Below are 24,163 nucleotides of genomic sequence, written 5' to 3'. Positions count from 1 at the left end.
ACAGGTGTGAGCCACTGTGCCCAGCCTTGCATTGTTTATGATAAAAAGTTTGCTGTCATTCTTATAATTGTTCCTCTGCAATGTCTCTTTTTTTTTCTCCAGTTGCTTTCAAGACTTTATAACTGATTTTAAGTAATGTAATCAAGATGTGGCTTGATGCAGTTTTCTTCATGTTTTTTGTTCATGGAGTTCATTGAGCTCCTTGTATGTGTGGGTTCATAACTTTTTAATCAAATTTGGAAAGATTTTGGTCACTATTTCTTCATATTTTTTCGTCCTCCCTCTCTCCTTTCATTTTGCGATTCCAGTTACACATATGTTTAATGTTGTGTCACAGCTCATTGATACGCAGTTCAATATTTGGGGTCTTTTTTCCCTCTGTTTCACTTTGGATTGTATTTGTTGCTGTATCTTCAAGTTTACTAATCTTTTTTCTTCAGTGTCTAATCTGTTGGCAATCCTATCCAGAGTATTTTTCATTTCAGATGAATTTTTTTTTATCTTTAGAAGTTTGACTTGGTTCTTTTTAAAAAAATTTCCTTGCCTACTCTTATCATAATCATTTTCCTCTACCTTCTTGAACATGTGAAGTAATAGCTACTTTTAACACACTGTCTACTAATTCTATCATCTGTGTCATTTCAGGATATGTTTCTGATGCTTGATTTTTCTCTTCATTATGAGTCATATATTCTTTTTTCTTTTCCTTTTTTTTGAGACAAAGTCTTGCTCTGTCACCCAGGCTGGAGTGCAGTGGCATGATCTTCGCTCACTGTAATCTCCGCTTCCCGGGTTAAAGCGATTCTCCTGCCTCAGCTTCTCGAGTAGCTGGGACTACAGGTGCCCGCTACCATGCCCAGCTAATTTTTGTATTTTTAGTAGAGATGGTGTTTCACCATGTTGGCCAAGCTAGGCTCAAACTCCTGACCCCAGGTGATCCACCTGTCTCGGCCTCCCAAAGTGCTGGGATTGCAGATGTGAGCCACTGTGACCAACCTGAGTCATATATTCTTGCTTGCTGAAATACTCAGTAACTTTTGAATTCTTCCCTCTACTGTGCCCTAATTGGATTCCCCAGCACTTTAACTGTTGGTCCTAATTCTGTCTTTTAGGGTTATGTAAGTTCGGCAAGGCATGGTGGCTCACGCCTGTAATCCCAACACTTTGGGAGGCTGAGGTGGGTGGATCAGGTCAGGAGTTTAAGACCAGCTTGGCCAATGTGGTGAAACCCCATCTCTACTAAAAATACAAGAATTAGCCGGGCATGGTGGCAGGCGCCTGTAATCCCAGCTACTTGGGAGGCTGAGGCAGGAGAATCGCTTGAGACCGGAAGGTGGAGTTCGCAGTGAGCTGAGATCGCACCACTGCACTCCAGCCTGGGTGACAGAGTGAGACTCTGTCTCAAAAATAAAAAAAAACAAAAAAAAGTTATGTAAGCTCCATGTTCTTGGTCCCTATAGCACCTTCCTTCATGATGCTTTTCAATATTTTAGATGTCCCATTTACTTTGTGATCATCTGATCAATGTCTGCTTTTCTCACCAGATTCCCTCTATGGCACAGGTTCTAGGTATGCTCTTGGTCATCACTGTATCCCAGCGTAGGGCACAGGCCTGGTGCATTTGAAGTCCTTGATAAATATCTGTTGAATGAGAATGAAACAAATGTCACCTGACCTGAATTTGGATTTTGTGGTTTTAAAACTCGGCTCTTTTTAAGTTTCTTTATGTTTTAAGATACAAAACCAATCACAATTATAAGGACCTTATTTGGATCCTGACTCAGATAAACAGACAAAACAATTTATGAGACAAACAGAAGAAGTTAAACACTGCCTGGATACTTGATGATATTAAAGGATTATTATTGTGAACAGCAGTTGAACATGGGTCAGTTGGTCCTGAGAGATGGGTGAGTGCCATTCCGAAAGGACCTGCAATGGCCTCCAGTCCCTTCAGCTGATAGAAAGGGAGTCGGGTTCAGATCCCAGAATCCAGAATGTTCTTAAAAAAAAAAAAGAAAAAAAAAAGGAAAGAATTATTGTTAAGTTGTTGAAGTTGAACATGGTATAGTGAGAATGTTTTTATTTATTTATTTATTTATTTATTTACTGAGGTGGAGTCTGTCTCTGTCACCCAGGCTGCAGTGCAGTGGCGAGATCTCGGCTCACCACAACCTCCACTTCCCAGGTTCAAGAGATTCTCCTGCCTCAGCCTCCCAAGTAGCTGGGATTACAGGTGCCCGCCACCATGCCTGGCTAACTTTTTCTTCTTAGTAGAAACGGGGTTTCACTATGTTGGCCAGGCTGGTCTCAAACTCCTGACCTCAGGTGATCCACTTGCCTCGGCCTCCCGAAGTGCTGGGATTACAGGCATGAGCCACCGTGCCCAGCCGAGACTGTTTTTAAAAAGACTTCATCTTTTAGATTTATATATAGTGAACTCTTTATGGATAAAATAACGTAATGTTTGGCATTTACTTCCAAATAATTGGTGGAGAAGAAGAAAGTGGGTGGGAATGCTGATGAAACAAGATTTGAAAATTATTGAATCTGGGACAAGGGTACATGGGGTTTATTATACTCTTAAATTTTCCTTATAAAAGTGAAAAAATTGCTTAGCTCTTTGATTGGCTGAAAAAAAGATAAACAGCCAGGAGTGAGATGGGTGTTCAGGATGGGGAGGGGTGTGGAAGAGAAGGAAGTTAGAGGTTTCAAAGATGCAGGACCCTCCAAGAAGTTGCCTGGAGGCTAACCAAACCAGAGCTGTCTCTGATAAAATAGGGGGGCTTCTGATGGTGGTCCTTTTGTTTGTTTCCTTATGCATTTATCTACCAATCTCTTTCTGTTTCACAAACAGAATAGTCGCAATTAAGAGGTGAGTCTAACAGGCTCTCTCAAGCAGTATGCAAAAAAAAAAAAAATGCCCTTTAGGCAACAATCCCCCACCCCCTAGCTCACTCACTCTGGAGCTCCTGGGAGATCTGCTGATTCTGCCTTTACAGGGGGTGTCAGCCCTTTGGGACAGAGGCGCAGGTGGTGCTGCTTGGACTTCCCGCCTGGTATCCACCCAGGTATTCCCTGAAGTAGCTCTGTCTTTAGGATTCAGGATGCTGCACACAAGTCACTGTGATTAGTTGTTTCTCCTTTTTGCAGGGCTTGCTGGTGGGTGGGGAGGACTTCTGAGTGGCCCTGGCTCATTCCACAGTTCACAGCACACAGGTTCTGGACTGTTTTGGCAGGCTTGAAGGAAATGGGTTCTCATACTCAAACTCTTATTCCTCCTCCGTTTCTGGGTCCTCTCATATCTGTGTCTGCAACACAAAAGACGGGTACTCCTGAAAGATCTGCCTGGGACTGCCCATAAAGAGAGGCAGTATTTTAGGTAAATCAGGTCATCTGGTGCAAGGCTTTATCCTGACTTTCTTGGGGTGTTCCTGTGTAAACAGCAGTCTGTAGTTGGCTGTATATACCATAATTGCTTCTGCCCCCACTCAATATCCCTCCTGTTTGGAGATGAAAGCTCAGGAAGCATGGGCATTTTCAGGGAGCAAAGATGTGTTAATATACTTCCAGTGGCATAACCTGAGAGCTTGTTTGGAGGTTCTAGCAAGGGAGCACAGCTACTCATATGCCCTTGACCGAAGATCGGTCCTCCTCTGTCGGGGATGGTCATCCTCTTCAGCCTCCGGAGGGACGCACATGGAGTGCTGAGGGAGGAAGTGGACACCCACCTAGCCAGCCAGATCAGCCGAATCAACCCTGACGATCAATGGGGTGACAGACGTTGCAGCCAGATCGCCCTCACATCCAGAACTTCCAAGCCAATAGACTTTTCAGTGGAATGAAATAAATTCTGGAAAAATGACTTCCATGAAAAACTTTTCATTTTGAGGTTAGATCAAAAACTCTTGATGGATTTTCTAATTTGAAGACCCATACTTATTTTCCATTTTAAAAGTAAAACACCTCATCAAAGAACTCTTGAAAAATACAAAAGAAGGGGAAAATAAAAAAAAAATCTAGTCATAGTTCTATCACCGAAACACGAGCATAAATCCATTTTCGTCTATTTCATTCTGTTCATTTTCTTTTGAAATGCACTGTCTCCATCATCTTCAGCCAATGGTTGAAATTCTAGCATATACAAATGTTAGTGTAACTGCTGTTTCCAGCCTTGTTATAAAATGTCTCCATGTTTTCATGTACTCTTCGTAAGAGACATGTTGCCAGCTGGTTTCTCAAGGAGCTCCTCCTGATTTTTTTCACTCTTCCCCTATAAATGGGCAGATGGGATGTTTCCATTTTTGCCCCATAGCAGACATCTTTTTCTGCATTTGGAGTGATTTCCTTAGGATCGAATGCAGAAGTGGGAGTTCTGAGTCAAAGATAATGGATATTTTTATGGCTCTTGACTCATCTGGCCAATTTGCTTTTCACAGATTTTGCATAAACTTACACTCCCACGATAGTTCAGATTTGAGTCTTTAAGTTTTGAACGACATTGTTCCATGTACCACACCTTCTATAGTAAATATTTTCCTGCTCAGATACAAACTTTAAAGGTTCTGACACCAGAGACAGTATCTTCTCCTATGTAAAGCCTTCAGCCCTTTCTGAAAGATGCTGTAAAGCAGGCTTGTGGTGGAGGACATGCTTAGAGTATGTCCTCGTTCTCCCATTCTCAGCTTGGACCACTGGTGTTCATTCCTGCCTTTTCCTCCTGGGAACAGTTCCCTAATCTGAATGTCCTGTAGCAATTCAGAAACCAATTCTCCCAGCTAGACCCTGTCTGGTTCCTACTAGTCTGTGGTCATGTTGGCCACTCCCTGGTTTGGGGTCCTTCTAATGCTTCTCAAAGCCCTAGTGGAGGTGGAGCGATTAACGCTAAGGGGTTAAGAGCTCAGTCAAATTCTCTGGTCAAGGAATGCACTATTCCTAGCCCCCTTCAATATGCAACAAAGTTGTTGGCAGGTTTTGCCAACTTTAACTCCACCCAGGAGAAAAAGATCCCCTCATGCACCCCCTGCTTCTTTTGATATTAGGAGAGAAAGAAAAAGAGAGATTAACATATTTACAAGTAGCCAATCATCCCCCATCTTTTGGAAGTCAAGTATTAGAGGAAAACAGACAGACATCTGTGAGCATTTAGAGAGTGGAAAAAGAAACAAGCAGGTTTCAACTGGAGCCAGGCAGGTGGTTGGCAGCACCCACCCAAGGAATGGAGTTTCTGTCCTGATTATATTGTTTCATTCGGCTGTGGATACAGCAGAAGCGGAGTGCTGGGGGTGCCGAGGGAGGCATCTCCATGTTTAATTCAGCTTACTTTGAGAACAAGTTAAAGTCTTGCAGCAAAGAGTTCCTCCACAGCAGAAATTTGGGAATCTAAAAAATAAATCTTGGAAAGATGTTAGACTGTGCATAGACCTAGAGCAGAGGAGCCAAGAACACACGGATAGCTCCTTGAGGTGGGAAAGAAGCACGGTGGTTCAGGATGGGCGGTTGGGAAGAAATGATGACCTTAATGATGATGACCATAGCTAACATTTTTTTGAGTGCTTATTATGTCTCAGATACTATCCAAAACACTTTACACAGATTAACTGTTTATTCATCACTGCGAACTTACTTGGAAATGACTATTATTGCTTCCATTTATGAATGAGGAAACTGAGTCACAGAGAGGGTGTGTGATGAGACTGGTAGGTTGGAGCTGTGACTATACTGGGGACAATTACATGGGCTGGATCCTGAAGGTAAGGAAGAGAAAGGAGAAAGGGGTGGCAAACAATCTTTCTGGGGATGTGGATGTCTAGTTATCTGCACCCGAAAGCTGGGAGTATCCCTGGACTTGCCCCTCTCCCTCTTATCCAGTTACTTCTGTAATTTCCCTGGTCCAGTCCATCCCCAGCACCATCCCCACCACTCACAGCTGCTCTACCAGTGTCTTGCCTGGGCTATTGCAGTGACTTCCCAACTGGTGAGCCGCCTTCAGCCCCCAACCCTAATCCATCTTCTAGATTCTTTCCCCACCCAGTAATCTTGCTCTAGGCTTCCTTGGCACCTTATAAATATCTCTATTTAGTACTTAGCACACTAATGGTAATTGTGAATTTATATCAGTTTATCCAGTCCAAATATTTGTTGAATGAAAGAATGAGGTCATATTCAAGGAGAATAATTAACATTTGAAGGCTGAGGGGTAAACCTTGGACCCAAAGAGAAAGGACTTTGCATTCCCAGGGCCCAAGAGCACCAAGAAGAAGTAAATCAGAACATAGACTTAAAAAGGGTGAACTAGCATGAGAGGCTAGGGATAGAACCAAGTGGATCAAGGGGTTGCTGGAAGATGTCAGTGCTTTGCACCTATTCCCATAGAGATTAATAATACATGACATGATTTTGGTAAGTTAAAAGTACCATGAATATCAGGAGCGGGATCTTCTGCTTGGTGGCAGCTCACGGTACTCCATAATAAACAGAAGTGGGAGCCAGTTGAAACAGCTTTTACTTATTTGGAGATGTCTCACTCACCCAAAGGCATCCCCATCTAGGCAAGATGAACACAGGAAAGTGATATTGCATATGGCTGGGAAGTTGATAGACTCTGGGAGGGTGCAATTTGTGGAAAAGAGTGGATTTCTAAGCCACTGTCCTTCTGTCAATTTTTGAGTATATTCTTGGTCTTTCTTGCAGTGCACACAATTCTACAATTGATCTTTAGGTGAAATAAGTTGGGAGATTTAGATTTAGAAGCATTGACCCTCTTTCTCCCGAAGATGCTACAAGGTCAGGTGCATTTCTGCTTTTATTTAAGAGTGTGATTAAAAACAGCCAGGGCCATCCTGGACCCAGCCGGCATTTCCCTGAATGTTCATTATTTTGAATGTATCACTAGAACAATGAGTGATAGAAGTGATGACATGATATAACAGAGAGAAAATCTGGGGTGAATGATTTCACAAGTTTGTCTCTGTTCCTATGATGGAAAAAAATGAAATCTGATTGTCTAGCCCAGAAGTGGAAGATATCATGTTATCTCACAACCTTTAAAGGTTTTACATAATATTTTTGAGACCGAGAATGCTAAAGCATTATTGCTTATGTTCTAGTTATAGGCCTATCTAATGGGTTATTGGTGAAAGACAAAGCACAGAGTCATGAATATGTCTCTGAAGTCAGTGCTGAAGCTGCCCTTGGATCTTTTGCCTCCTAGCCAGGCAGTGGGGGGTTGTCAGTATGGACTAATTCATTCCTGTAGTCACACTTTTTTTTTTTTTTTTGAGGCAGAGTCTTGCTTTGTCGCCCAGACTGGAGTGCAGTGGCACAATCTCGGCTCACTGCAATCTCTGCCTCCCAGGTTCAAGCGATTATCCTGCCTCAGCCTCCCGAGTAGCTGGGATTACAGGCGCGTACCATCACACTCGGCTAATTTTTGTATTTTTAGTAGAGACTGGGTTTCACTATGTTGCCCAGGCTGGTCTTGAACTCCTGACCTCAGGTGATCCACCCACCAAGGCCTCCCAAAGTGCTGGGATTACAGGCGTGGGCCACTGTGCCTGGCCAGTCAACACATATTTATTGAGCAGCTGCTATGTGCCAGGCACTGTACTAGGAAGTGGGGATACAGCAGTGAACAAAACAAAGTTCCTGTTCTCATGGAGCTTACAATCTAGTTGGGGGAGACAAAAAATAACTATGAAACTTATACTATGTCAAGTGATGATACATGCTATGAAGAAAAAATACACACAGTAAGGGGAAAGGTTGGGGTTTCTATCTTATAGAGAGTGGTCAGGGAAGGCCTTGCTACTACAATGAGCACAGATTGAATGGAGTGAGGGAAGGAGCCCTGTGGTTGTCTGGGGTCGGAGTGTTACAGGAAAAGAGAGCAGTAAGGACAAAGACCTCAGGCGGAATCATGCTCAGCACACTCCACCAATGGCAAGGAGGCCAGTGCGGCTGGAGTGACGTGAGCACGGGGAGGGTAGGAGATAAGGTTGGAGAAGAAGCCAGGGGCAAGACCACATGTGGCCCTGGAGTCCGTGCAAGGACCCTGCATCCTCTTCTCTTAGTGAGAAGAGAAAGCTTTGGAGAGTTTAAGCCAAGGAGTGACACGATTCAGCTGTTGTCATAAAAGACTCTGCTATGTGGAAATGTCCTCAGAGGAACAGGGTGAAAGCTGGGAGCCCAGCCAGGAGATGGCTGTGGCTGGGACTGGGGGTAGCAGTGGAGATTTCAAGAAGTGGGCAGATTCTAGACACATCTTGAAGGTCAAACTGATTGAATTTGCTGATGGATTGGTGGAAGGTGTGAAAGAGAGACACATAAGGATGAGCACGCTGTTTGACCTGAGCAACCAGAACTGTGAAGTTACCCATATTAGGATGGGAAAGATTTCTCAGGAGAAACCAGTGAAGAAAAAAAACGATGGGAAAGGCAGGGAGGAGAGAGGAATCAAGAGCTCTGTTTGGACATGTTAAGTTAGATGTCGATGGGGCACCGAAGTGCAGATGGTGAAGAGGCTGCGGGATATGCAAATGTGGAGTTCAGGAGAGGTGCTCAGCTAGAGATATGCATGTGGACAGCGTCGTTGTGCAGCAGTTAAGGCATAAGGCTGAGAGGACGCACAGATACAGCAGAGGCTGGACACCGAGCCAGAGTGTCCTGATGTTTGGGGGTTGAGAAGAGGAGCTTCCAGTCAAAGGTGACAGAGAAGGACTGGCCAGAGAGGTAGGAGGAGAACCAGGGGTGAGTCGAAGGAAGAAGTGCTTCAAGGATCAGGAAGGAGCTGCCCATCAACTACGTCAGTGTCGCTGATGGGTGGAGGGGAGAGGCCTGAGAATGAGCCACGGGATGAACGGTGTGGGTCATGGTGTTTTTGACAAGGGCAGGGAAGGTGAAGTGGGCACAGACAGTTGATTAAGTGGGTTCAAGAGCTAACAGGACAGGAAGGGAGTCACTGAGCGTGTTTCAAGAAATTTGGCCCTCTAGGGGAGGAAAGACATCCGGTGTAAGGGGCTAGCTGGAGGGAGATAGGGTGCAAGGAGTTTTTTTGTTTGTTTGCTTTCTTATATGGGAGATGTTTCAGCATGTTTGTAGTTAATAGATATCCAGTGAAGAGGGAAGATTTGAGAATGCAGGGCTGAGCTGCCCTAAACATAACTTTCCTCCCTTTTCTTTATTGTACAGCTTAGAGCATTGATCAATGTGTTCAGTAATTGTTTGTGGTTGATGTTTCTGTGAATATCTCTGGCATTTATTTCCCCTTTAGGCAAAGTTGCATGTCCCTCAAATGTGCCCATGCGACCAGATCAGATCCATTTAATGATGAAAATGCTTTGAAAAAACAAATCCCCTGACTTTTGTCTACCAGACCCTCTCAGTTGTTCTATCACTTAGTTGTAGAGGTGTCAGCTGAATCAATAATAATAAGCTACTATTATTGAAACCTTAGGATGTGCTTTACATGAATTATCTCTGTAAAACATCACTGTGATGCAGGTACAATTGATGATCTCAATTTAATGAAGAAACAGAAGCTTCAGAGGTTAAACCATATGTCCATAGCGGGGCAGGCGGTGCATGGTAGAGCCAGGTTCCCAACCAGCCCCCGTTGACCTAACCAGGACGCCCTAGAGAACTGCCCCCAACCCAGAGGGGCTGCGGCAGACCTTGGCCACTGCAGGCAGACTTCAGTACCGAGAGACTGCATCCTCTTCCCGCCCGTCTGGGCGACCCGCTGTGCCAGGAAGCAGCTCCGCCCCCTCCCCGACCTGGCTGTGCGACACCACCCGGGCTCGGGCAGCAGGGGGCGCTCTGCTGTCACGAGAGGCGGACCCAACGCGCCGAGAGCCTGGCTCCCGGACTGCGACGACTCCCTCCCCCGCCACCCACACCCCCAGGCTCTCCCCTTCCTCATTCTGCATCAGAGTTTGCTGCTGCTGCTGCTGCTAGCAAAGCTATCTCTATGGAGATTTGTGAAAAACCTCTGCTCTGGTGAAAGGGTCGTGGGGTAGGGGCGGGGTAGAGGTGGGGGGTGGTGGCCCATGGTTTCAGGGTGTTGGTGTTAAAATAGTGGGGACCCGGTGGGGACAGCAGGCTAAGGCCCTCGGCTATGCCCTGGGTCTGGCAGGTGGTAGGTGTCTCGCTCAGCTCCTGGAACGGGTAGATCCGCTGCGGGGCAGGCACTCAAACATCGCTTTGTTTCCTAAGTTCTTTCTGAGCAAGCTTCTTTCTAAGATCCCAAGCACTAGAACCGCTGAAATACAAATTCCTAGTTGGGAAAATCAGATTCCCGTATCTGCAGGGATGCAACAAAGAAGGGCAGCAGTGTCCTGTGGCTTTGAAGTGCATGTCACATGAAACAGGGCGAGGAGGGAAGCAGGTGGCATTAATCCTTCCCCGCCCTCCTCCGCCCCTTCTGCGAGGACACCACTGGCCATTTGCTGCCCTGGTAGCGGGGGAGGCACAGCTGGCCAGGGAGGCCCCAAATCAAAAGGAAGCCATGTGGGCTGGGCGCGGTGGCTCAGGCCTGTAATCCCAGCACTTTGGGAGGCCGAGGTGGGTGGATCACGAGGTCAGGAGTTTGAGACCAACCTGGCCAACATGGTGAAACCCCGTCTCTACTAAAAATATAAAAGTTAGCAGGGCAGGGTGGTGCGTGCCTGTAATCCCAGCTACTCGGGAGACTGAGGCAGGAGAATCACTTGAATCCAGGAGGCGGAGGTTGCAGTGAGCCAAGATCACACCGCTGCACTCCAGCCTGGGCGACTCCATCTCAGAAAAAAAAAGGAAGCCATGTGGTGGGTGCCTGAGCCTGGCGCCACCACAGCTGCTGGCTGCATGTGACAGCTCCAGTCCTGACCAGAGGGCCTCAAGTCGCATGGGAAGGAGGGGGTGGGGACACAGCTGCTCCCACCCGGAGCATGGCCCTCCTTAGCCCAAGCTGGGACCCACAAGCCCAGACCCAGAAGCAGAGATGTGAGGGAGGAGGAGCCGGATGTTTCCTCTTTCCAAAAGATTCCAGAATTGGCTTGGCTGCGTGGCCCCTTGCCCCTGCTGACAGCCCCCACACTTCCTGATTAAGTCTGGCTTCCCCAGGTGGCTGCTGCCCAGGACTCCCAGATGCAGCTGTGGGTGGCAGGAAGCAACCAGTGTCCTGGCATCACCCCAGACACAAACCTGGTCCCTGATTTGACAGCATCGCGTTGCCCTCCACCCACTGATGTGGTTAGAGCCACACATTGAGGGGCACAGAAAGCCCCCTCCTGCTGTGAGTTCTTTGCATTTTGCCTTTCCCTCTTGGAAGCAGCCAGTCCCAGAGCTGTCCTGATCTGTTTAGAACTACAGCTATTCCACCCTGCGCCTGCCAAGTGTAGCTGTACTTCCTGTGGACTAGATCTAAACAAACACAAAAATTCAAAGTGCGACAAGTATCAATCTCCTATCGAATGCGAAAAGTAAAGGAAGCACCTCACCCTCAAGGGACTTGTAATCTAGTTGAAGAGACGAGATCCAAATACGTGGGGAGTTCAGTATCTGGGAACAGTGAACATATCAGTTTCGACTACAGAAGAAGAGATGTCACAGGTCCCTTTGTGATTAATTATCAAGTGAGTGGTTCTGACAGTGATTGCTCCCCTTGTCTAGGGGAGAGAGGGCGTGCTTCAGGCTTTTGTGGTCAGGAACACTGGACTGGGGCAGGGGGCAGGGATGGTGCTGATGGGATGGAGGCCTGGGTTTGAGTTGCTTCTTGAAGGCTGAATGCATCAGAGCCTATAAATAGAACTCATGATTCTTTTTGCTTTGGAAAACATACAGACTAACCATCCTTTCTAGATTAGTGCCTGATTCCAGTTTACTGCCCTCCCGTCATCAGGGTGCTCAGAAAATGTAATTTGATAAGTAAAAATGCCTTTTATGAGAACCTATAATGTGCCAATTATTGCACAGTGTACATTACAAAAATTATTTCTGGTATTTTTTAGCAACACTTATTGGATGGCCATCCCCTACCCTAACCTACAAATGAATCAAATGGGGCTCAGAGAATGTAGGTATCTTTCCTGAGGTCACACATCCAGGTCAGGCATGGCGAAGCTAGAATTCAAGGCCTGTTCTTTCATACCCCAAAGCCGAGGGGCTGAGATTTGCAGAAGGGTCTGTAGCTGTTTTCCAAAGGGTTTCCCATATAGATGCCAAATTTCCCGCCTTCAAGCAGACCTCATCTCTTGGAGCCTTCCTAACATACTGCATGGATTGAGGACCCAGCTTTGATATTATTTCTTGTCTTTTTTTTAGGATAAGGGAAGAGAAGCCCAAACAAATAGGGTTGCTGCAGATTTCAGAATTGAACTGAAGGTCTGAACCAGAGGAAAATTTTCAGGAGGCAGGGATCCCAGTGACTCAAAAGTCCCTTGAGAGAAAATGGATGCCCCCCTCCCCCGTTCAGCTTTTTATTTATTTATTTATTTTGACAGAGTCTCACAAGGCTGGAGTACAGTGGCACTATCTTGGTTCACTGCAACATCTGCCTTCCGGGTTCAAGTGATTCTCCTGCCTCAACATCCCGAGTAGCTGGAATTACAGGTGCCCACCACCACACCCAGCTAATTTTTGCATTTTTAGTATTTTTAGTAGAGGCAGGGTTTCACCATATTGGCCAGGCTGGTCTCAAACTCCTGACCTCAAGTGATCTGCCCACCTCAGCCCCCCAAAGTGCTGGGATTACAGGCATAAGTCACCGAGCCTGGACCCTGTTCATCCTTGACCCTCTCTCCTCTCCCTCTCTCTTGAAGAGCTGGACCCCTGCTCCTGGAAGAAGCTGAAACCTCACTCTGTGGAGTGGGGAGAGGCTGGCCCTTTAAGCCCCTACCCACCAGGCTCTCAGCAGTGGAGGATGGAGCACGGTGAAGGAGCATGCGGTGGGGCTGTGTCCACAGAGCATGCTTCTGGCCTGTCAGTTTGGTGGAATGGAGTGTAAATCTCTCCTTTCCCTCTATTTGCTTTCCTGACCCTATAGAAATGAGGTGATTAACACCCACCTTCTCTTTTCTGTTTTCACGGAATCTCTGATCAACTTGGCACCTGTCTTAGTCTGTTTGGGCTGCTATACCTTAGATTGGGTGGTTTATAAACAACAGAAATTTATTTCTCACAGTTCTGGAGGCCGGGAAGTTCAAGGTCAAGGCCCTGGCAGATTTGGTGCCTCATGAAGGTCTGCTTCCTGGTTGAGAGATGGCTATGTTCTCACTGAGTCCTCATGTGGAGAAAAGATGATGGAACTCTCTGGGGCCTCTTTTCTAAGGGCACTAATCCCATTCATGAGAGCTCTACCCTCATGACCTCAGCACCTCCCAAATGCCCCACCTCCTGCTACCATCACACTGGAGGTTAGGATTTCAACATAGGAACGTTCAGTTCATGACAGCACTCTTTGAAAACCCCTAGAATTCAAGATGATATGCAGGTTCCCCCTCATGAAAATAAAACCAAGATGTTCTAGAACAAAAAATATATATGAATATAACAAAGAAAAACATAAATCATACACTCCTCTGAAGATAACTTTTGTGACATTTGGGTATCCTCTGGTTGTAATATTTCTTTTTAATACAACTCTGATGAAACTACATATGATTTTGTATCCTATTTATTCACTTAGCATTTCCCCAAATTATTTATAAATTCTTTGTGAACATCATTTTAGTCACTATATATCATATGGAAGTATCATAATTTCTTTTTATTTTATTTCATTTTTTGAGATAGGGTCTCACTCTGTTGCCCATGCTGGAGTGCAGTGGGGCAAACTCGGCTCACTATAATCTCCACCTCCTGGGCTCAATCATCCTCCCACCTCAGCCTCCTGAGTAGCTCATGCTGGAGTGCAGTGGGGCAAACTCAGCTCATTACAATCTCCACCTCCTGGGCTCAATCATCCTCCTATCTCAACCTCCTGAGTGACTGGGACTTACAGGCATGTGCTACCATGCCCGGCTGATGCCCGGTTGATTTTTTTTTTTTTTTTTTGTAGAGATGGAGTTTTGCCATGTTGGCCAGGCTGGTCTCGAACTCCTGGTCTTAAGCAATCCACCCGCTTTGGCCTCCAAAAGTGCTGGGATTATAGGCATGAGCCACTGTACATGGCCTCATAATTTATTTAACTTCTATGTAACTAACCATCTAAGTGGTTCTAGCTTTTTGCTACTAGCAGTCATATCACAATTGATATATTTGTGCATAAAGATTTTTGACATTTTAGTTTATAACGTTAGGATGGATTCCCAGAAGTGAAATTATGAGGCCAGGAGTAGGAACATGTTTAAGGCTCTCAATACATTTTTCCAAATTACTTTCCAAAAGGGTTATATTAATTTATACTTTATTAGGAATCTATAAGAGTGTTAAACATGTCACAGTCTTTCCAGCAATCAATATACTCTTTTAAAAATTAGTTTTTAACTACCTAAGTCTACTATCCTTATAAAACAAAGCATAACAGATCAGGCCAAGGTTAGCTTTGCCCATATCCTCATTCTGTTCCACTCCTCTTCTCTCTGTACATACGCGCTGCTAGCTGTCGCTTTCAGTTCTTCCAGGCTCTTCACTTTACCTTTACATATGTCATCCAATCTACTGTTTGATTATGTTCCCCTGTTGATATTTTTAAACGTGTGTTCTTTTTCTCCTTCTAGAACAGAAATTGGCAGACTTTCTTCGTGAAGAGCCAGAGAGTAAGAATTTTGGCTTTGTGGGCCATGTCTACTGCAGTACAAAACTCTGCTGTTGTAATGTAACAGCAGCCATAGACAATATATAAACAGTTGAATGTGACCATTTTCCACTAAAACTTTATCTACAAAAATAGCTGTCAGGCTAGATTTTGCCAGCAGGCTATAGTTTGCCGATCCCTGTTCTAGACTGTAAATTCCCTGGGGCAAGGGCCAAGTGGATTCCCCAAGCCCCTGGACCAGGGTTATGCACAGTTATCCTTGGCAATGACTACAGTAAGAGGGCTGGCATGTTTCTTTCTTTCTTTTTTTTTTTTTTAAGAGATGGGGTCTCACTATATTGCCCAGGCTGGTCTCAAACTCCTGGGCCCAAGCAATCCTCCCACCTCAGCTGAGATTACAGGTTTGAGCCATCACACCCGGCCTGGCATTTTCAATACGAACTTGGGGCTTGGGATGGATAGAAAGGACATGGAGACATCATTCTGCATCACCTCCTCTGTGTTCTCTGCTCCTTGTCCTTCTAGTGGGAAAAGGGAGAGGACAAGGAAGGGACATTCCAAAGTGACTTGAGTCCTTTGGGCCCTGGGAGTGGGAAATTAAAGAGATGCACTGTAACCTTTCTTCCCTACTCCCTTAGCTGAGCCCAAATGCAATTCTGCCTTTGGGCAAGGGTGTGTACCAGGCAGGGTAACAGTTGAGGGCATCAATAATGCCACTATAGGCAGAGGAATGACAAAAACTAGCATTTACCAAGCACTTACCATGCACCGGAACACTGTAGCTTCCTATATAATCCATCTAATAATCAACCAATAATAGTATTGCTGACTGTGAGGTCAGTACTGTGGTTACTGCAAGTATAAAGATGAGGACGTAGAAGAACAGAGAAATTAAGTAACTCATCCAAACTCTCCCGCCTGGTGATTAGTGGAGCAAAGGATGGCATCTGGGCCCAGTGTTTCCACTCCTCCCCACCACTCTGATTGCCTCTGTGGCAAACACTCTCAGTTGCCTTCCCGATATCCATTATTTTCTTCCTTAGTGTCAGGACCTTGGACAACATGCCCAGGTGATAAACTAGTTTCCAGTCTCCTTTGCCATTAGATATAGTCAATTAAGTGGAAACTCTTTGGCTGTTTCTCTTTTCTCCTGCTTGGAATATAAACATGATGACTGGAGCTCCAGCAGCCACTGTGAAGCCATGGTGTGGATGGAAGCCACGTGCTGAGGATGGTGGAACAGAGGCAAAAAGGATCCTGGGAGCTCTCAGATCAGCTCTGGGCTGCCTTATTCCGGACTCTTTCTTTTTTTTCTATAACACAAGAGAGAAATAAATCTTTATCCTGTTTAGGCCACATCGATCAGATCTCTCTTACAGGAAGATAAATGTAATTCCTAAGTGTTAAAACCTCGAAGAAGAAACCAGAGCTGCTCTTATAACACACAAGAAATTTGCAAAGAGGAATCCATCTGGCAGGATCCAAACGCATATCTTATTCCCCATCCCTAAGTCCAGAGTCATCAAATGCAATGGGACAAAATGACTGAGATATGTCCCAAGGAGTGAACAGAAGTGGAACCCAAAGGGAGGGGAATAAGTGGGCTGAAAGGAGAAGAAAAAGCTCTAAGGCAGGAGGGAAGGGTTTTTCTTACCAACTTTGAGAGGGGTGGCCACATGTAGCCAAGAGCTGAGGCTGAAGGCCTTGTGTCCTTTGAGGAGAGGGACCTCAAATTATCTGTGGCTTCTGAACAGATAAGACAATACAATGTGGACCTCAAACAAGTAACTGTTGTTTATGGCCTGGATCTACGTGGGTCGACCGACCATCAGTCAGCCTGCGTGACAAGGACCTGCACTCTCCCTCCTTCCCACTGGCCAGTGCCCGAGTGATGAGGCTACTCATCAAGAGGCTATGGTTTGGTGGAAATGAAGCCAGCTGGCGGCCCAATATCCACGCACTTTCCCAGAGAGTGAGCCGCATGCAAAGTCCATCTGTCGCCAAAGCTGAGGGGGCTTAGGGTCATTCAGTAAGGCCTGCCACTGAGATTTGGTTCCGGATCCAGCAATCCTCTTTAAAAAGAACAGATTTTCACCTGCCATCCTCCCCACGTTCTAATCTCCAGGAGGGGGAAAAACGTAGTCAAAGGAGAGATTCTCTGATTCGAGAGCCTCAGGATTCCAGGCAGCAAAGATAGAACTTTTCTCTCAAACTTAGGTTGTAGGGTTCTGCTGGGAGCTCTCTACTGATATTTGCAGTAATTTGCAAATGGCACATTGGTGTCACAAGTGGGAAGCCTGGGGCTCAGGGACTCACGGGTCAAGGCGATCCACGGCCAGGTGAGGGGGTGTGGTGAGGAGTAAACCTATTCCGTGGGAGGACAAAGATACAAAGGAAGGTCTCTTTCTGAACTGAAACAAAGAGGAGGAGAGTCCTTATAAATGCCTCTGGAAGAGGCCTGCGCCATGCGGTTAACCTTGAAAGAAAGTCACTGACTGAGGTTTCACACTTCATCCTTGTCCTGACAAGTCCAGCATTTCCAAGTTTTCCCTCAGATGACTCCCTATCAAGACAATCTGTAGATTTTTTTTCCAGTCGGCATATTGGCTGCAAAGATAATGTAGGTATTTTCAGTCAGCCCGGAGCAGGAGAGATAAGAGGGGAGAGAGCCAGGTAGAACTTGATTGAGTGACCAAGATAAATTTACTGTACCACAGGAAATCGAAATGCAAAAATAAGGATTGGGAGCAACTGAAATATTTAAAAAGATAGAGAAGGGACTGGCGTTCTAAGGGAACAGCCTTACCCCTTCATTGCCTGAACTCCTGAATATTGCAAAAGAGAATAGGGTTGAAAAAGGACCAGAATAGAAACTAGCCATTAAGAGAGACAGAATGAAGGGTTTGGCTTACAAATGGGATTATAATTAAGAAAGGAGGAGAAATCAGAACGGTTTGGGGTTTGTCTTCTTGGCCTCTGGTCTCACCTAGGTGATGCCTCAGACAGAATGCTTCTCTATATTGTGGTTTCTGCCTCTAAGAAACCTTTCTCTTGCCCTACCTCCCTGGGGTGAGAACTGCTGCCTTCTTAGTCGGGAGGCAGTGGGGGTATTGGTAAGAAGTCAGGCTTGGCTGCTGTAACCAATAGACCCGATAGTAATTGAGTAGCTTATGTAAGACAGAGTTTACTTCTTTGTTGTGTAGCAGTTTGAGGTGAGTGTTCCACAGAGTCCTGGAGGCACTCAAATTCCTTCCATCAGGCCTTGGTTTTGTCTATAGGTTGAGGCTCAGCTGCTGTGGTTCCAGCCACTGGGAAAGGGAGAGAACGTAGAGAAGGCTCAGGCTTGGCAGTGGCACCCCTCATTTCCGCTCACATTTGTTTGAAGACATCTTAGTTATATGGCCCCCACCTAACTGCAAGGGAAGTTGGGAAATGTAGTTTCACCATGTGCTCAGGAAGAAGGGAGAGCCATCTTGGGGGACAAGCAGTGTTCAAGACCACGAAGAACTAGTGGAAGGAGGAACAGAAGAGGCTGAGGTGCTGGTAGGTAGCAGACTCTGATGGCTTGATAAATAAGAGAGCCACCCCATCCATCAGGGGCCTGGATGTCCTCCTGCTGGCGGGGACATCACAGCCAGAGAGCTGACCATGTTCCACTATCAGTACAAGCGGACTCTGGCAGCAGATGTGCTTCTCAGTGAAGGTGTGGCGACATCTCTCCGCGTCTCCTTGCAAATGATCAGCTCCCACCTCCACCCTGGCACCAACCTGGGCTGCAGGAAGCTGAAATGCATGTTGCCCCTTATCATGAATGGGAGCATCATCTTTGCAGAAAGTCTCCCTTCTTTATCCTTGCAAATTGAGAGTGCAATCCAGGATGGAAGGAGACCACATTCAACCATCAGCATCAAGCGGGCGAATGAGGCCTCCTGAATTGAGCATTGGGCTCAGGAGGGGCATGAAGTTCCACAAAGCACAGACCACCCTTTGCAATGAGCAGCAAGGTGGGTGTCTCTTTCACAGGTCGGGGTGAGGTGGGGTGTTTCCATCCAGGGAGCCCCAGTCAGCGCGAACCCAGCCTGCTCTTCTCAGATGGACTTGCGTTCCATGTGTGCCAATTATCAGGCACTGGCAACCTCTCCAGAGCTGGTAACTTTAGATCAGTCTTCACATCTTTTTCCCAGTGTCTCTACAATCAATAGGCAGACATCACCCGGGGCTGGCCACTGGGCAATCCAGATCTGATGGTTCAGCCCTTCCAAACATAACCTAATTCCCCTCTCTATTTTTAAGGATAAAAATCTATGCATAAAGCACCCAAATGATTCAAAGGGCATGGTGTAGCTTATCCATTTTTTTCCCCTCATATCTTCAGCTTGGCATTTCTTTAAAACAATGAAACTATTTTTTTCCTTAGATATGAAACATGGCCTCAGAGACCCTGACTTGAAGTCAGAAGATCTAGACTCTCTTGAGGTGTCTGTAAAGAGCTCACCCAGGCTGTAAACAATTCTCTCCCTGAGGTCTCTCCCTTGTGTGACCTGAGAGCAGGTTGAGTGTTCATTTCTCAGGAATTTGCAAGAAAGAAAGTGTTTATGCTAGAAGAAGCCTTTCATATTCTAAAATTGCCGGCTATGCCAGTCTAAAATTGCCAGACTATGTTTTCTGGGGCAAGGTACCTGGATCACATTGTTCAGGGTGGCTAATGTACTTCGGAGCTTGCTATTTAACTTGTTTTTGCTGAAGTCTGTAGACTTATTTAGACACAAAACCTTGAAGAAACCTACTTCCCAATTCCCAAGCGTATGCCTCATTTCCTTCCTCTCCTGGTCAACCCAGACTCTTGTCAGGACGCCTTCTCATCAATCTTAAAACTCTGAAATGTAGAGTGCAAAGCTCTTTTCTTCCCTTTTAAAAACAGAGTTTATTTTTCATTCTCTCTATAAGTCATGCCAGTTTAATATAAAAAATGGAAAATATAAAGTAACCAGGTAAATGAATGAGTTGGGCTGGCTTGGTGGGGTGCAGACAGAAAGCAACTCTACTCTTCCCCCGACTTGCCCTGCACACTGGCTCTGTGGATTCATTTTTTCTTTCTCTTGCTTTTTGGATACTCCCAGGTATTAATTAAGAGTCTTGCTCCTTCAGGTAATAAAATGTCAAGTCCCAGTCTCATATCAAACTCTCATGCAGTTTATAACTTCTCCCCTTGCTGAGCTTGGCCCGTGGGCACAGGCATGTATGCAGTTGCCTCTTCTCTGTTTTCTTCCTCGCGCCCCCTCTCAGTAGTCGGCTTCTGCCACCTGGGCCAGTGTGGGAGGAAGATGGGGGAGAGGCTTAGGGGGCAAGCAAAGTCTTGGTTGACTGGAACAGTTGTAACCTGGTATCCTGAGGGTGTGTTTCTCCTGTGTGTGCTCTTTAGGGTTCTTTGGAGACACCATCTCCCCACTGGCTGAGGATTTTCTTGGACGGTGCTTCCTCCAGCTGACTCCATAAGAGCGCTAATTTACAGCAGTCAGCTCCTCTGTTGTGGTCGCCTCACTTCTCCAGCAGGGAGCACTCACTTCTAGGGGATCCATATCTGACCTATAAGCAGGCATTTTTCTCAGGGGAAGTCCACGTCTGGTCCACGGGAAGCGCACCTGTATCCTCGCACCACCAAACCTAACAAGTGCAGTGCTTCCTGCCCCTGCCCTGCCTCTTGGCTGCCCATCCATGCAGGCCATCCCAGCTGGCCCTCTGTCTTTGATTTTGGAGCATGAGTCAGGTTGCATCCCTGCATCCTTCAAATTCTAGGGGCATAGAGCAAATCCTTTGAGTGGTTCTAAGTGCCCCTGCCTTTGTATTCAACAACTAACTCTCTCCCTCTTTAAAGAAATCTTTACTCTCAATCTCTTCATCCTGATTCATGCATTCACAGCCTTCTCTTAAAACAATCAATGATGTTCGAGTGCTGACTGAACTGGAGACCCTGCCATGCTGGCCCAGCATCCTGCTTTACTCTGCACCCATTATTTTCTACTTTCAGTAGAAATAATGTCTTGTCTCAGTAATACTGAGACAAGAATCCCATTTTAACATCTAGCGCAGTAGTTGTAGTAGGTTTTTTATGGCTCCAGATTCATTTCAATCCAGGATTATGACCCTTTGCAATACAGCTTTGCAACTCCTCCCATCCAGAGGAGACATCTGCTTGTCTACTCCTTGCAATTTCATTGGCTTTGAGACCAGCTTTGTCCACATAGAAAGGGGCAGAAAGCAAAGCTAGGCAACTTCTGAGGCTAGGGCTTATGAGTCATTGCTGCTTCCACCTTTGCTCTCCTCTAGGAACATTGCCCTGAGACAGACATCCATGAAGAAGCCTGGGATGAAAGACCACATGGAGAGAAAGGCCCACCATCATTCTGCACCAACTACCAACGGCGTAAGGGAGGTTGACTTGGATCTCCCACCCCAGTTGACTCTCCAGCTGAAAGCAACTGCCTGAGCCCAAACAAAACCTGCTGAGGAACCTCCCTGCTAGCAAATGGAATCAGGAGAAATAATAAATAGTTCTGTTGTTTTAAGTCACCAACTCACAAACGGAGTATAAGAAATAATCAATGGATGTAGTTTTAAGTCTCTATGTGTTGGGATGGTTTGATATAACAATAGGTAACTGAAACAGTAGAAGATTAGAAAGAGGAAAAATAATCACCCATAATCCCATCACATAAAGATGACTGCTCTTTTTTTTTTTTTTTTTTTTTGAGATGAAGTCCACTCTGCCACCCAGGCTGGAGTGCAGTGGCACAATCTTGGCTCACTGCAACCTCTGCTTCCTGGGTTCAAGTGATTCTCCTGCCTCAGCCTGCAGAGTAGCTGGGACTAAGGCGTGTGCGACCATGCCCGGCTAATTTTTTTTTTTTTGTGTGTGTGTTTTTATTAGAGACGGGTTTTCACTATGTTGGCCAGGCTGGTCTCAAACTCCTGACTTCAGGCGATCCACCTGCCTCAGCCTCCCAAAGTGCTGAGATTACAGGCGTGAACCACCATGCCTGGCCAAAGATGACTGTTCTTAACATCCGTAAGTTTTTCCTTTCGCTCTCTTTTTTTTCTACACATATTTTTCAACATTTTATTCTGAAAATTTTCAAACACATAAAGTGAACATTCCATACCCACTACTTAGATTCTACAATTATCTTATTTTTAGTGCATTTCAAAGCAATGAACATCAGTACCCTTCACCTATAAATACTTTAGCATTCTGGATATGTTTTAAGTAGTTGTAATAATAAAATGCCTAATATGTACTTTTATATCCTGCTTCATTCAATTATTTTGATATTATTAACACGCTTGAATGTTAAACTCTTTGTGAAATTTACTTTTAATGACTGATAATGTACAATGAAGCAGGTATACTGTCTTTTTTTTTTCTATTTCTGATTGTTAGATAGCTATGATTTTTCTACCTTCGTATCTGTTAATATAAGTTATACTTCAAATACCCTCATTTCCAGGTACAGAAAAAAGGCCAGTGGGTTTACATGACTCATCTGATTTGCTCTGGGATAAAAGGCAGTGTGTTAAATCTTGTTAAGTAGAATATTTTCTCTTGCAGGAGAACATGTGTCTTGGCATCAAAGAGAGCTAGTTCCATCACTTTTCAGTTTTGTGACCTTGATCAAACTCCACAGCCTCTTTAATCTTGCTTTTCCTCATCTATGAAATGGGAGTAGTAATTGTAGGTACCTCAGCTAAAGAATCAGAATGAGATAATTCACATAAAACTCCTAGGACACTGCCTGACACATGTCTTCATTATCACCATTAATATTCACATCCACGAAGTTTTAGAAACAAAGGTATTTGCACATACCAATGTATTGTAAGTGGAAGTAAAATTAAACAAAGCTTAATTCACAAACAATGCGAAAGCCAAATGTAATCAAGAAAATTCATGAGCAGTGCACTTTGATAGAACCCAAAACAATGCCTTCCCATTGATATCCAGACAACCAGGGCAGACATTTGACTGGCATGCAAGGGCACAGCTATTCTGGTTGTTTCCATCAGGTGTCCATTCTGGTTGGTCAGTGACTGTGCTTTTCTAGTTGTTACAATTTTTGGGCCCCACCTACCAATAAAACCGAAAGCAGACAGAGAGCTAGCTCTTAGTCCTTGCTAATATTTACTTTGAAGAGGAAAATGATGCCACCTTTGAAGTTCTCCATAGGAGTTGCCTCTGACACTAGGGAGAAGACCTGAGCAAGGCTTATGAGTTGAGTCCCAGAGCCAATGTCAGATCATGTCTAAGGAATCACCTCACCGGCCAAATCTGGCAGTCTGTGTGCAAGAATGAGCATCACAAAAGGGGTCATAGGTAGGGAGACAAGGTGATTGGCAAGTCTGGGAACAGGCTAAGGAGACGGGGTCTCAGTCAACATGGGAGATTGTTTCTGTTGAGCCAAGGATAGAGGTGGATCACATGGGCAGGAAAGCTCCTCTTAAGGGGCCAGGCTGGGAAGGACTGCTGCATGTTGCTTTCCTCATGCCCACTGGACTCTGATGATAAATCTTGACGATCTCATCAAGGTCATGGTCTTCATTATAGTCATGATCATCATTATCATCATGAACAAAGGCATCCTAAAATGAGGGAGAGCAATGAAGTTCTTTGAAGGACTAGGAGACCCCTGGGGGCAATCTTACCACCTGGATTACATTTGGCTATTTCCTTACCCTCTTCTTTCTCTTAAGGAAAGAAACATTCTGGCCCCAATAGCTCTGCTGAATTTTCTCCTTAGAGAGTAGTAGAAAGCCTCTTTCCAATTAGTCCACTAAGATGAGAATTATCTCCCACCACTTCTCCATCCCCTTTGTCCTATAAACAAGGGAGAGAATCAGCACAAGAGCCATGAACTCAAGATGGGATCCATGTACAAGACTAACTCACATTTTGCTCATTGTTAAAAAGGTGGAAATGCTTCCCATCTTTCATTGTATTCTCAAAATTTTTGACAACTTGATCAAGTCTATTACGATTCCCAAAGCTTTGAGGCTTAAGTAGCAAGAAACCCCAAACTTTCCAGAGATATTTACTGCTCTCGATTCAGAACTTTTTCTTGCTTTTGACTCAGATTATTCAGAGAACAGAGTGGGGGTGGGTTAGGAAAGAGAGAGATCAATGTAAGTGTTGAGGCTGATGGCTAATGGCCTTTAGATTGCAAAGATTGGGTAAACAGATTTAGCACACTGATTCAACATATTAATTGTTTGTTAACCTTTGCATAACCTTTAGGAAGCCTCTGAATGTGTGGATTTAAAACCCAAAGTACACTCAAGGTATTCCCACAGCACAACCCACTTTTACAAGGTGTTAAAACTCATTAATTTTCTGTTGAAGCTGGGCAGGAAAGGGGGGTTTGGGGGAACAGAGCATAC

General features: G+C 45.3%; 1 pseudogene, besides 2 other annotated features; it reads right to left on the bottom strand.

The window, feature by feature from the left end:
* On the bottom strand, positions 3,567 to 3,809 carry RN7SKP94 (RN7SK pseudogene 94; annotated as a pseudogene).
* Positions 9,698 to 9,877: a silencer, noted in NCBI's record as "silent region_8751". NCBI's record gives its function as "represses an Ori minimal core promoter by ATAC-STARR-seq in GM12878 lymphoblastoid cells {active_cell/tissue: GM12878}" and the evidence as "EXISTENCE:reporter gene assay evidence [ECO:0000049][PMID:35858748]".
* Positions 18,244 to 18,444: a silencer, noted in NCBI's record as "peak2914 fragment used in MPRA reporter construct". NCBI's record gives its function as "represses an SCP1 promoter by STARR-seq MPRAs in K562 erythroleukemia cells {active_cell/tissue: K562}" and the evidence as "EXISTENCE:reporter gene assay evidence [ECO:0000049][PMID:32103011]".

Source organism: Homo sapiens, chromosome 17, assembly GCF_000001405.40.
Source record: "Homo sapiens chromosome 17, GRCh38.p14 Primary Assembly".
Taxonomy (NCBI): domain Eukaryota; kingdom Metazoa; phylum Chordata; class Mammalia; order Primates; family Hominidae; genus Homo; species Homo sapiens.
Note: the sequence above shows the minus strand (reverse complement) of the source record. Positions and strands in the feature narration are given on the sequence as shown.